At 46.7% G+C, this 13,445-nt stretch overlaps 1 protein-coding gene across 5 annotated transcripts in view, besides 3 other annotated features; it reads left to right on the top strand.

Moving 5' to 3' along the window:
* Positions 1 to 13,445, top strand: part of IGDCC3 (immunoglobulin superfamily DCC subclass member 3) — a 50,876-nt gene that overhangs the window by 18,726 nt on the left and 18,705 nt on the right. The window contains exon 1 of one of the 5 annotated variants that reach the window (XM_011522244.2): positions 2,610 to 3,080. The exons of 3 other annotated variants lie outside the window; for them this stretch is intronic. Coding sequence is in view for 1 of the 2 variants with exons in the window: in XM_011522243.1 (XP_011520545.1) it covers positions 3,519 to 3,558 (40 nt within the window). In the remaining variant the exon portion in view is untranslated. Of the gene's footprint in view, positions 1 to 2,609; positions 3,081 to 3,371; positions 3,559 to 13,445 lie in introns of those variants that run through there. One more of the 5 variants, XM_011522243.1, reaches the window with a different exon arrangement.
* Positions 2,742 to 3,244: an enhancer, noted in NCBI's record as "H3K4me1 hESC enhancer chr15:65648371-65648873 (GRCh37/hg19 assembly coordinates)". NCBI's record gives its function as "activates a minimal SCP1, AML or CMV promoter by ChIP-STARR-seq in primed H9 embryonic stem cells {active_cell/tissue: H9 hESC(primed)}" and the evidence as "EXISTENCE:reporter gene assay evidence [ECO:0000049][PMID:30033119]".
* Positions 3,245 to 3,747: an enhancer, noted in NCBI's record as "H3K4me1 hESC enhancer chr15:65647868-65648370 (GRCh37/hg19 assembly coordinates)". NCBI's record gives its function as "activates a minimal SCP1, AML or CMV promoter by ChIP-STARR-seq in primed H9 embryonic stem cells {active_cell/tissue: H9 hESC(primed)}" and the evidence as "EXISTENCE:reporter gene assay evidence [ECO:0000049][PMID:30033119]".
* Positions 3,748 to 4,250: an enhancer, noted in NCBI's record as "H3K4me1 hESC enhancer chr15:65647365-65647867 (GRCh37/hg19 assembly coordinates)". NCBI's record gives its function as "activates a minimal SCP1, AML or CMV promoter by ChIP-STARR-seq in naive H9 embryonic stem cells {active_cell/tissue: H9 hESC(naive)}" and the evidence as "EXISTENCE:reporter gene assay evidence [ECO:0000049][PMID:30033119]".

Below are 13,445 nucleotides of genomic sequence, written 5' to 3'. Positions count from 1 at the left end.
ACCCAAGTTGCTGTGGAAATGGGGGAAAAAAAGGACACATACTCTCATTATTATACTCATTATGTTCCTATCAGAATACTCACCCATGGAGCATTATTTTTAAAGTTACTCATGGTCTTGGGTTTGGGAAAGGAAGAGATCATTTAAAAGCATTTTCTCAGGCCAGGTGCAGTGGCTCACACCTGTAGTCCCAGCACTTGGGGCAGGTGCATCACTTGAAGTTAGGACTTCGAGACCAGCCTGGCCAACATGGTGAAACCCTGTCTCTACTAAAAATACAAAAATTAGCCAGACATGGTGGTACACACCTGTAATACAAGCTACTCGGGAGGCTGAGGCACAAGAATTGTTTGAACCAGGGAGGTGGAGGTTGCACTGAGCCAAGATCGCGCCACTCCACTCCAGCCTGGGTGACAGAGCGAGACTTCATCTAAAAGAAAAATAAACTAATTAATTAGATAAACTAAATCAAAGCACTTTTTCAGTTACTTAAAAGGCTGAGGTGGGAGGATCGGTTGAGCCCAGGAGTTCGAGGCTGCAGTGAACCAGTGCACTCCAGCCTGGGTGACAGAGAGAGACCATGTCTCAAAAATTAAAATAAAATAAAACATAAAGACACTTTTTCAGTTAAAAGTATTGAGTCTCTAATTTAGGCCCGGAGGCTCCTCTTGCTTTTTGAATGTGCCATTTCTCAAAATATAATTTATCTGAGGATTGGCCATTCAGGCACCCTTGTTGAAATCTAGGCAACCCACAAAGGCATATGTATAGAGATAAATAGTGACAAATGTATTTGTAGTTACAGTTTGAACAGCCATTTTAGTCTTGCAAAATGAAGCTAGTGGCCTGTATAGCATTAAAATGGTTTTGGGGCTCCGTGCAGTGTCTCATGTCTCTAATCCCAGCACTTTGGAAGGCTAAGGCAGGCAGATCACTTGAACCCAGGAGTTAGAGACCAGCCTGGGCAACATGGCAAAACTCCATCTCTACCGAAATACAAAAAATTAGCCAGGCATGGTGGTGGGTGCCTGTAGTCCCAGGTACTTAGGGAGCTGAGGTGGGAGGATCGCTTGAGCCTGAGAGGTTGAGGCTGCAGTGAGCTGAAATCACGCCACCGTACTCCAGCCTGGGTGACAAAGTGAGACCCTGTCTCAGAAAAAAAAAAAAAAAAATATGTCTTGGATCTGCTACTAACTAACTAGCTGTTGTTTTCTTGGATCTTTTTTCTCTCTAGAAATGGGGGCTTTAAGCCTCTCCCTAGAATCCTGAAGGTGGAGGGGAAAAGGGAGGTCAAAGTGGGGTTCCAGGCATCCTACATCTACCCCATCAATGGCAGCTTAGCTTTTATCTTTTTGTTTTGTTTTGTTTTGGAGTTCTCTAAACTGACTAACTAGGCAGATAGGTCTAACAGGGAGTAGTTCGGCAGCTGCAGGTGCTGTGATGCCAAGAGGGCTTAAGGGCCTAGAGTCTTAGGTAGAAGAAGTATAACTCTAAGATGAACATTTAGGAGAGTTATAAAGAAAAACATTTTTATCACATCTGTGGTTATGACCAAGGTTAGATTAAGCCTTGATTCAGGAAAACAATGAGTTATACTTAAATTTTGGAAAGCTTTTCATGTATCACTGTCACTACTAGTGCTTGGTAGTGTTAAATACAGTTAGTTGGTCAGAGCAAGGAACAACTTGGCTCCTGCTCGTTTGGTCCCTCAATAAGTGTTGCCCATTCTTTTATTTTATTCTCAAATAAATGGATGGATAGATGGATACTTCTATGCAAGGGTTTGGCTATGGGCAGTCTAGAAAATGCTTATAATCGAATTATGGTGACATGGACATTAGAAAATGCTGCAGCCTCAGAAAGGGCTCTGTGATATGTGTCAAATAAATGGTGCTAACCAAGGGCTATTGGTTTAGCCAACAGCCTTCTGTTGATCTGGGCAACACTAATTATTTAACAGATAAAGAATTGATTAATCATTTAATAAATCTGATAGAACACTGGAACATAAGCATATCATTCTTCCTTTAGGTGGAATTAGTCAAAGAGCCCATCAGAAGAGATTAGGAAGTCCATGTTTCCAGAAAAAGAATATGCAGAATTGAGGGGTATTAAAGCAGGTCCAGGCCGGGTGTGGTGGCTCACACCCGTAATCCCAGCACTTTGGGAGGCTGAGGTGGGCGGATTGCCTAAGGTCAGGAGTTCGAGACCAGCCTGGCCAACATGGTGAAACCCCATCTCTACTAAAAACACAAAAAAATTAGCTGGGCATAGTGGTGCCTGCCTGTAATCCCAGCTACTTCGGAGGCGGAGGCAAGGGAATCGCTTGAATCCAGGAGGCAGAAGTTGCAGTGAGCCGAGATCAGGCCACTGCACTGCAGCCTGGAAGACAGAGCAAGACTCCATCTCAAAAAAAAAAAAAAAAAAAGCAGGTCCATTCTCAAATCTCACATCAGCAAATCTCTAAGAGTATCTATCCTGCACCTATCTGCCTCTGTGCCAAGTACTCTGTGAAGGATAGCACAGAAAGATAAGACACTTCCTGATCTTGAAGGGTGTAATCTCCCCACCCACCCCCCCAACCCTCGCCTTTAAAAAAAAACCCACTTTGTTTGGTGGTGATGGTGAAAAAGCAGCCTGACGTAGCACAAAGTATCTCTTGAATGCATACATAGTGTGACCATCGGCTTGTCCATCTGCACCGTGGTTTCCTTTAGTTCTGATTGATTTCTAAGTTGAGCCACCTCGTGTCCTCACCTGTGAAAAAAGAAGTGCCTCAGCCTTACCGGGCTTCTCATGGTGCCTTGGCTTCCAGGAGCATCTCGGTCAAAACAGTGGCCTCCGTGCTTGGGACATTAAATCCAAATTCTGAGGCCTTGCTTTGCAGACCTCCCCTTTCTGACCATTTCCCTCTTCCCGACTCCTCTAGTCCCTTCATCAGTCCAGGCTCCCCACAGTGCCCCATCTTCCCTCTTCTTTTCCCAGTCTTTCTCTCCTGCCTTCTCTACCCGCATCTCTCCCAGCCATTGCCTAAACCTCGGCAGTCCTTTCAGGTTGGTGGCACACAGCTGGGCACTAAGGTATGTAAATTCCCCACTCTTTCTCCAAGTGTTTGGTGTGTATCGGCGAAATGGGATTAGGTCTTTGAATGCAGAGCCGTGCCCGTTTTTCCTGAATTAAGGACAACTGCGCGCTCAGTTAGAGCGCCCCTGAGAATCTGCAGGTGGAGAAGGCTCGGGGAGGGGCCCGGAGGGAGGGACGAGGGCGAGTCCGGGGGCCGCGCGTGTCCGCCCAGCTTCCACGGAAGGTGAAGGGCCTATTTCCTCGGGGAGACAGGCACCGCTTCCTCAGTTTCCCTCCGCCGCCGCGAGTGCGCCGGGGCCGGGCCCAGCTGGGGAATCCGAGGCTCTGGGGGAGGGGGTGGCGGGAAATGGTGCCTCGCTCGCCCCAGCGACATCAAACCCTCGTTTGGCGTGCGAGGACAATGGCTGTCTTATTTTCTCCATTCGCCGCGCACAATGCCGGATTCTCTCATTCACCCGCGGTGGTGCGAGCGAGGTAATTAGCCAGCGCCATTCAGCGCGGACACTATTGCTATGCGGGAGGGGCGGGGGGGCGGGACGCCCGCGTCGGCGGGGATTAGCCGCGGGCCGGGGCGCAGCTGCGGCCACTTCAAAGGCGGCGCGCGGCCCGGTCGGCTGTGGGAACCGGCCCCCGCCTCGGGCCCGGCCGCCGGGAAGGGGCCCGCCGCGTCCTCCGGGCTCGCGCCCTCGCCCGCCGCCCCTGCCGCGCCCTGGGCCGGGGAGCCTGGGGCCGCTTGGACCGGGGCTCCGGTGGCTGTTGTCGCTCCCCATCACGCTCCCACTTTCATCAGGACCTCCAGTGCTTTTCTCCTTTGAGGCCCGGAGTCAAAGGGCAGAGCGGGGAAGGAGGGAGAAGAGCGGGGGGGATGGGAGTCTGACACAAAGCGCTGACCTCCGAGGAGTGGAGCAGATGGTCCCACTTACTCCTGCCGCCTAGCCACTGCGGCTCTCGGGGCCCCAGGCTCGGGCCTGACCCCGCCCGCCAGCTGAATGCCTGCAGTGGGGCCCCGCGGGGGCCGGGCTTCCCCAGGCTCCCCCACCCGCCCCACTCCGCTGCCCACTCTGCCCTCACCTCCTGGCGTTGGAGTCAGGCTGCCCGGAGCAGCCGGCTGGGAGCAAGGGTTGGGGGGCTTGGCTGAGTTTCTGCCCTGGTCCGGATTCCCAAGAACTTGCCAGGCCAGGGTGTCCCAGTCCTAGGGTCACTTCCAGAGCTTTAGTAGACACACCGATTCCTGAGCACTACACCAGACCAATGAATCCGAAGCTCTGGCAGCAGGGTCCGGAAATCTGCATGGTTAGGCAGCACCCTAGGTTATTATGATCTGCAGCCGAGTTTGAGAGCCAGGGGCCTAGCCTAATTCACCTTCTTCCTTTTCACTGAAGAAGCTGAGACTCAAGTAGAGGAATTATAATAACTTGTTGGAGGAGAGCCATTGAATTGTGGCAGGCTGGGGACTTATGTGGAAGACAAGATGAGGAGTGATCCCCAAGAACATATGACCGTTTAAGTCAGCATTCAGGGAACAGTTTATGAGGACTTAGTGTTTACCTAGTATTTGTTCTAGGTGCTGGAGGTAGAGAGATAAATGTGTCTGTTCCCTGCCCTTAAGGGACTCATAGGTCTTCGATGGGTAGGCAGATAGACGCATCAACAGCCAACTCTAATACAGTCTGAAAAGGGGTAGGAGACGTGCAGGCAACATGTTAGAGTTAGGAATGAATTCTGCTTCCTTTGGCGGATATGGAAGACGGAGGCGGTGGTAGAAAAAGGGGCAACAGAGTTGTAGGCAGAGGGGGCAGTGGAAGCAAAGAATACAAGGGTGAATGTCTGCAAGGTGACATAGCATGAGAGGAGAGTGTCCTTTTACGGATGTGTTACAAGACAGGGATCCTGATCCAGACCCCAAGAGAGGGTTCTTTGATCTCACTCAAGAAAAAATTCAGGGCGAGTCCGCAGTGCAAAGTTTATTAAGAAAATAAAGGAATAAGATCAGGTACAGTGGCTCACGGCTATAATCCCAGCACTTTGGGAGGGCGAGGTGGGCAGATCACCTGAAGTCAGGAGTTCGAGACCAGCCTGGCCAACGTGGTGAAACCCCATCTCTACTCAAAATACAAAAATTTGCCAGGTGTGGTGGCATGCGCCTGTAATCCCAGCTACTTGGGAGGCTGAGACAGGAGAATCACTTGAAGCAGGGAGGTGGAGGTTGCAGTGAACTGAGATCGCGCCACTGCACTCCAGCCTGGGTGATGAGAGTGAAACTCTGTCTCAAATAAAAAAGAAGTGAAGGAATAAAAGAATGGCTACTCCATAGAGCGGCCCTGAGGGCTACTGGTTGCCCATTTTTATGGTTATTTCTTGATGATATGCTAAACAAGGGGTGGATTATGCATGTCTCCCCTCTTTAGGCTATATAGGGTAACTTCCTGATGTTGCCATGGCCTTTGTAAACTGTCATGGTGCTGGTGGGAGTGTAGTAGTGAGGATGACCAGAGGTCACTCTGTGGCCATTTTGGTTTTGGTGGGTTTGGGCTGGCTCCTTTACTGCAACCTGTTTTATTAGCAAGGTCTTTATGACCTGTATTTTGTGCTGACCTTTTTATCTGATCTTATCCTGTGATTTAGAATGCCTTACCCATCTGAGGCCGGGCACGGTGGCTCACGCCTGTAATCCCAGCACTTTGGGAGGCCGAGGCGGGCAGATCACCAGGTCAGGAGATCGAGACCATCCTGGCTAACACGGTGAAACCCCGTCTCTACTAAAAATACAAAAAATTAGCCAGGCATGATGGCAGGCGCCTGTAGTCCCAGCTACACTGGAGCCTGAGGCAGGAGAATTGCTTGAACCCGGGAGGCAGAGGTTGCAGTGAGCTAAGATTGTGCCACTGCACTCCAGCTTGGGGACAGAGCAAGACTCTTTATAAAAAAAACAACGGAAGGAAGGAAGGAAGGAGGGAGGGAGGGAGGGGAAGGAAGGAAGGAAGGAAGGAAAAAAAAAAAAAGTACGCTTGTCCTGTATTCCTACAAAGATACTCCACAATATATTCCACAAGAGTAAAGCAAAATAAGTAAAGTTGTTCCAAGTAAACTAAATTAGAAGGGTTTCCATTAACTGGGCAACTATTGGAACCAAGCTGATATGGGGTTGTTAGCTGATTGTAATGTGCCCAAAATTGGAATACTGATCCAGAGTTTTACATTACCCATCCCTCTTGTTTCTCATGAATAGCAGACAGAGATTACTGGTTGGTTCACAGGAATAAGCAGAGTTAGCCTAAATTGCAGAAACAAACTTAAAAACAACTAATGAGACTAGACTTTAACAATAAGTGTACCATAGTTCTTGAAACATATTTCTCTGTCCAGTTTCCCATTTTTACTAAAGACAAATCATGGTAAGACTGATTTGCTTTATTATACTTGGCCTGATTATTTGTATAAAGTGCAGCAATAATAATTATTTTTCACATAGGATCTTTTAAAATTGGCTTTGATGGAACTCTCTTCCATAGAAGGAACCTTAGATGAGACTTTTTTAAAGCTGAGCCCTGCCATGGGCTTGTACCCTCAAATACCTATGAATTGGGTAAATTCCTCTCTTTTTGAGGTCCCAAGATAACTTGGGGCTCCTGGACCTGTGAGAAAGTGACATTCTTTACTTGTTATAGGTCAGAAACCCTGTACAGGGACCGTGTAGGCAAGGTACGAGATGAGTTCCCCAAAGGGCTTTTATTAGCTCTACAAGTCAAGTTTGATTCCTTAAAGGAAAGCACATCATTCCAGTCAAAGCCTTGGTAAAATAATCAGTTTCTCCAACTGAGTCCTGTTACAAAAGAAAACAGACTCTTATATGCAAATAATTATATTGCCATAAGTTAAGAATACTCACAACTAGTTTCCAAATTCTGGAGAAATCAGGTAGAAAGAAACAAATATGTTCCAAATTTTGTTCACAGCAGTATACTTTACTCAATTGCTACAAGCTGCAAATAGCTCAAAAAAATTTCCTTGACTCTGAAAAACAAAGGATCAGCAACGTTTTAAGCAAAATTAAAAAGATTACTTCAGTTTTCTATTGGTTCAGTTAATTCAGTTGACTCCTATCTGATATTCATGAAGTTTCCAGCTCTTCATGAGAGTTCTGCAAGTTGTTTCCTCTATTCTAATGTTACAATTTCCAAAGTTATTAGAAATCTGCATTTAAGAACACCTGCTAGAGTTTTATAGTTGATTATAAACCACCTTTTAAAGAGGATTAAAACAAGACAACAATTGTCTGGATGATAAAAAGTTTTAGGACAGCCACTGTTAAAGCCACAATTGATAAGGAAATTTGGTCACTTCTGTGGCACACAAAATGTTACATAACAATTATAATTATTAATAACATACACTAAGTTATATTAAAATTATAGGAGTTTCCCATAACTTTGGACCATATACCAATAACACATTTATGCAAATATAGTCCAAAGAAAGCAAAACACCATTTCACATTTGACAATGCTTCCTGTATGATTTTTATACCAAATAAGCCAAATTTCACCTTTACATTAATGTACTATAAATGTTAAACCCAATTTTAAATAAAATTTTATAGACATATTTACCCAATGTTAATGTTTAACCGTAAGGTAAGATTCTTTTTTTTTTTTTTTTGAGACGGAGTCTCACTCTGTCGCCCAGGCTGGAATGCAGTGGTGCAATCTCGGCTCATTGCAAGCTCTGCCTCCCGGGTTCACACCATTCTCCTGCCTCAGCCTCCCAAGTAGCTGGGACTACAGGCACCCGCCACCATACCCAGCTAATTTTTTGTATTTTTAGTAGAGATGGAGTTTCACCGTGTTAGCCAGGATGGTCGATCTCCTGACCTTGTGATCTGCCCACCTTGGCCTCCCAAAGTGTTGGGATTACAGGCGTGAGCCACTGCGCCCAGCCGGTAAGATTCTTATAAACCTTTTATAACCCTTTACATTTTTTTGTGAAAGAGCAGATTAGTGCTCTAAGAAAAACCTGTTGTGCTTCTATTCCAATGTTTAATTTATGGAAAAACTGAATAATACGACTTTAACTTTAGCCAATATGTTCACACACAGAATATCTTACAATTAATTTTTATGAACCTTCTACACCTTGTTTAAACTTTAGATTTTTTTCTTACTTAAAACAATCCTTTAACACTTTAGGCAGAAAAAAAATACACATTCTCATGACTTCTTATAATCTTTCACCAAAACACATTTTACTTTCTTTGCACACCTTGCATGTGAAATTGTTTCTTTAGTAGTTTCAATTACATGTTATAATGTTAACTCTTAGCAACTTTTATTTTTGGTGAAAACCTTGGTAAATTCGAGATTTTGATTATGCTCTAGGTATAGAGCCTCGCCCAGGACACACCAGGCAGAAGTGCAGATAAGAGCTGACTCTTGGTCGGGTACCATGGCTCATGCCTGTAATCCCAGCATTTTGGGAGGCTGAGGTGGGCAGATCACCTGAGGTCAGGAGTTCGAGACCAGCCTGGGAAACACAGTTAAACCCTATCTCTACTAAAAATACAAAACTTAGCCGGGCCTGGTGGCACGCACCTGTAATCCCAGCTACTCGGGAGGCTGAGGCAGGAGAATTGCTTGAACTTGGGAGGCGGAGGTTGCAGTGAGCCGAGATCATGCCATTGCACTCCAGCCTGGGCAACAGAGCAAGACTCTGTCTCAAGAAAAAAAAAAAAAAAAGCTAAGTCTCAGGCTGGACGTGGTGGCTTATGCCTGTAATCCCAGCACTTTGGGAGGTTGAGGCAGGTGGATTTCTTGGGAGGCTGAGGCGGGCTGAGGTCAGGAGTTCAGAGACCAGCCTGGCCAATATGGTGAAACCCCGTCTCTACTACAAATACAAAAATTAGCCAGGCATGGTGGCAGGCGCCTGTAGTCCCAGCTACTCAGGAGGCTGAAGCAGGAGAATAGCTGAACCTGGGAGGTGGAGGTTGCAGTGAGCCAAGATCAAGCCACTGCACTCCCGACTGGACAACAGAGTGAGACTCCATCTCAAAAAAATATTTAAATAAATAAATAAATAATCCTTTCAGATCTCTTATTACCCAACTTTAGCCATGCCAAGTGGCCAATATTTCTAGCTTCTGATCTTTACCAAAAGTAACCTCCTATGTGCTTAGAGAAAGGAAAATTTAAAACAGTCCACAGAGAAGAGAATAGACAAGGTCACGCAGATATTTAAACCATAAACGACTTACTTCCTAGATGGGGAACTGAACCCAGACCACCACTGTGAAAGTGCAAAAACCTTAGCTACTGAGCTACAGGATGGGCCCATCTCTATTTTCTTTCTCAGAAGAAATCTAGAGTAGTTAATTTTGAGCTTGCAAAAGCTTTTAACTATTTAATATGATTTTTTGAGTTACTATGACATGAACCCTAAAATTCCTGTTCCCTGAAGCCAGAGACCAAAAGAAAGTACTGCCACGTGGTTAAAAGGTGAAGCTCCCAAGAACATAAAGCAAGGTGGAGACTTCATCCAGTTTTTTGTTTGTTTCAGGGACCTGCAACCAAGTTTGTGACCGACCAGCTTGCTGAGTCATCTTGAAAAGCGGACATACAGGTGTTCTAAGCCCATGTTTTATCCTGAAGTACCCCCTCGACACAGAAAAACGAATTCATAGCACAAAATACACCAGCTTAAGACTAGCCTTAGAATTCTTTTTCGCATTAATCAAAACTTTACAAAGGAGATACAGATTTTTTTTTCCATTCATTCAACCGTTTGCACAGAGAGAGAGAAACCCAAAATCTGACTGGTAAGGAATTATTTCCCTTTTGCCGGCATGTCAGCCTTCTGGGTTCCCTTTCCCTGAGTGGCCCTACTGATTCGGCTTATGCCACCATCGCCCCAGGGGCCAAGCCACATCATAAAGGAAAATTATTTTTTTTTCATTCTGGCCAGAGCAAAATACTTGTGATAACAAAACATAGACATTAGCTACTCTGCTTAGCACCCAATATCAAACTGTCAAGACTTAAATTTGCCCCCAGATGGGCCTGTCATCTTTAATCCAACCTCTAACTAGGAGTTTCAGCACAAGATGGTCGCCCTGAGTAATAGAAAAGATAAGAAAGAGAAAGAAAAGCATCGCCTGTGGCAGGGTGGGGAAAGTGAAATGATCAGGGAGGCCAGAGAAAGACCCACCCATTGCAGTGACACTGAAAAGTTCAGGTGGCTGCTGTCAGTTGAGCAGGGATCTTTTCCAGCAACCCTATCAGCTCTTGAGTTTCCCGTTTTAGGGAGGAAAAAGCTCCCCATGTCCCAAGATCCTGTACATGCCTAATCCTGTCACCCACAGCCATCAGCAAAGAGTGCAAAGCAGCTTAATCCAAAGAGATAGCAGTTAACATTCCATAGTGCCAAACCTGTTCTTAGCCAAGAGGGACTTTACTGAGAGGGGTCTCTAACCCCCTAAAATCTTAGAAGGGACTCTAACCCTCCTAAGTCGGGCCTCTAACCCGGGGTCGGTCAAGCATCCTTGCCTTTTATTAAGAGGGGCCTTTAACCCACTCTGTCTTGGAGAGACTCTAACTCCCCGAAGTTGGGCCACTAACCCCATCCCATTCTTTACCTGGGTACCGCATCACTTACCCAAAGTCTTCCAGTCAGCACTGCAGTCTATTCCCTTTGGGTTGGGGTGTCTCCTCGGTATCGTCCCTTCCATTGTTTGCCAGAAATATGTTACAGGACCCCAACACTTACCCAAAGGTAGCTGTTGGGTCAGCGATTCTGCACTATAATCCTTCTGTGATTGCCAGAAATATGTTACAGGACAGAGGTCCCAATTCAGACCCCAAGAGAGGGTTCTTGGATCTCACGCAAGAAAGAATTCAGGGCGAGTCTGCAGTGCAAAGTGAAAGCAAGTTTATTAAAAAAGTAAAGGAATAAAAGAATGGCTACTGCATAGACAGAGCGGCCCCAAGGGCTGGTGGTTGCTCATTTTTATGGTTATTTCTTGATGATATGCTAAACAAGGGGTGGATTATGCATGCCTCCCCTTTTTAGACCATGTAGAGTAACTTCCTGACAGTGCCATGGCATTTGTAAACTGTCATGGCGCTGATGGGAGTGTAGCAGTGAGGATGACCAGAGGTCACTCTCGTGTCCATTTTGGTTTTAGTGGGCTTGGGCCGGCTCCTTTACTGCAACCTGTTTTTTGTTTGTTTGTTTGTTTTGTTGTTGTTGTTGTTGTTGTTGTTGTTTGAGATGAAATTTCGCTCTTGTTGCCCAGGCTGGAGTGCAATGGCGTGACCTCGGCTCACTGCAACCTTTGCCTCCCAGGTTCAAGCAATTCTCCTGCCTTGCCTCAGCCTCCCAAGTGGCTGGGATTACAGGCACACGCCACCATGCCCGGCTAATTTTTATATTTTTAGTAAGGACAGGGTTTCGCCATGTTGGTCAGGCTGGTCTCGAACTCCTGACCTCAGGTGATCCACCCGTCTTGGCCTCCCAAAGTGCTGGGATTACAGGCGTGAGCCACCACTCCCGGCCTGCCACCTGTTTTATCAGCAAGGTGTTTATGACCTGTATTTTGTGCTGACAAAATCTCATCCTTTGACTTAGAATGCCTTACCCATCTGGGAATGCAGCCCAGTAGATTTCAGCCTCATTTCACCCAACTCGTGTTTAAGATGGAGTTTCTCTGGTTCACAGGCCACTGACAGATGGAGAGGGGTCACTTTACCCAGTGTTATCCTAGAATCTTAATGTTAGTATGGACCTTAGAGATTATTTGTCTATCCTGCCCCACTCCCATTTTACAGATGAGAAAACCAAGGTTGGAACCAAAAGGTCCCAGAGGGAATCTGTGACAGAGCCAGGAGCTGATCTCAGCCTGCCTCTCTGTTACCTAAATCCCAACTATATTAGTTCCTACAAATCCTAATATATGGCTCTGGAAATTCGGGGGAAGTATCTGTTTTTGTTGAGTTGTCCTTGTGGTCATGTGAAAGCAATTTACTTAATAGCTGCAGCCTGGGCCCCCCTAACCAGACACCCTTCCGGGAGGTGAGGGAGATCCGGTGTCCTGACCAGAACGACGGAAGTTAGGGATATTGTGGGACTGGGCAGGTTTACATAAGGAAGATTGGTGACCCTGACACTGGCAGAGACACACAGTCTGTGGAGAGGGGCTCTGCTGGGTCTGGACATTTTCAAGTCCAAGGCAGAGAGGAATTCCAAGTCATCTCCCAGCCCCTGACCCTGCACCATTGGCTGGTATTTGGAAGCAGATGTGCCTCAAAGGTTGCAGCTGGATGAGACCCAGTCACTGAGTTGTCCAACTCGCATTTCCCTATTTTACAGAGGAGGGAAAAGAGGCTCAAAGAGGGGCTTTGCCCTTACCAAGATCACATATCCAGCTGTTAAAAGAGCTGAGTCTCGGCCGGGCATGATGACTCACGCCTATAATCCCAGCACTTTGGGAGGCCGAGGCAGGCGGATCACCTGAGGTCAGGAGTTCAAGACCAGCCTGGCCAACATGGTGAGACCCTGTCTCTACTAAAAATACAAAAAAATTAGCCGGGCATGATGGCGGGCACCTGTAATCCCAGCTACTCGGGAGGCTGAGGTAGGAGAATCGCTTGATCCTGGGAGGTGGAGGCTGCAGTGAGCCGAGATCGCGCCATTGCACTCCAGCCTGAGCGACAGAGCGAGACTCCGTCTCAAAAAAAAAAAGAGCTGAGTCTCGTGGCCACCCTTTTACTCCATGGACGCCACTAGCATTTCACAGTGCTTCCTCCCAATCCCCCCACAACAGGAAAATAAATCAATCCTCTATTTTATACAACCCAGTGGGCTAGACTACAGGCATAGACCTGCAGGCCCACCCTCTCAAGGCTTCACAGCTCAGATCTGCTGGAGGGCAGAGTTGGAAGTACTCAAGGAAGAGCCATCTTGGTTGTTTATTTGCCTGTATTAATAGAAATTAGGAGCCATGTGGGGGCACAGTGCCCATTAGTGGGGGTGATAACACCACCTTATCATGGTGCTTATTTGCATTAATTACTCCCTATAAAACCTACCACCAAACCCTGGGGGAGTCGAAGTGAAGCCTGCTGTGTCATGGGTGACTCTGAGTGTGAGTAGGAAGGGTGGCAGTAAGGGTCTAGCATGTTGTGTGCCTCTCTGTTTTTCTGGGTGAGTCTAGGCCCCATCAGTCATGTTTAAGGGTCATTTGAATATGTATTTCCCCGCTGAGGACAGCTTTGTGATGAAGGTAAAGAGACTTGGATTTTGAGTCAGACCATTGTAAGTCCAAATGTTTGCCTTAACACCACGGACTGGCTGTGTGACCATGGGCAAGTTAC

This window comes from Homo sapiens, chromosome 15, assembly GCF_000001405.40.
Source record: "Homo sapiens chromosome 15, GRCh38.p14 Primary Assembly".
NCBI classification, from domain to species: Eukaryota; Metazoa; Chordata; class Mammalia; order Primates; family Hominidae; genus Homo; species Homo sapiens.
The sequence above is the reverse complement of the archived record's forward strand: the minus strand, read 5'-3'. Positions and strand labels throughout refer to the sequence as shown.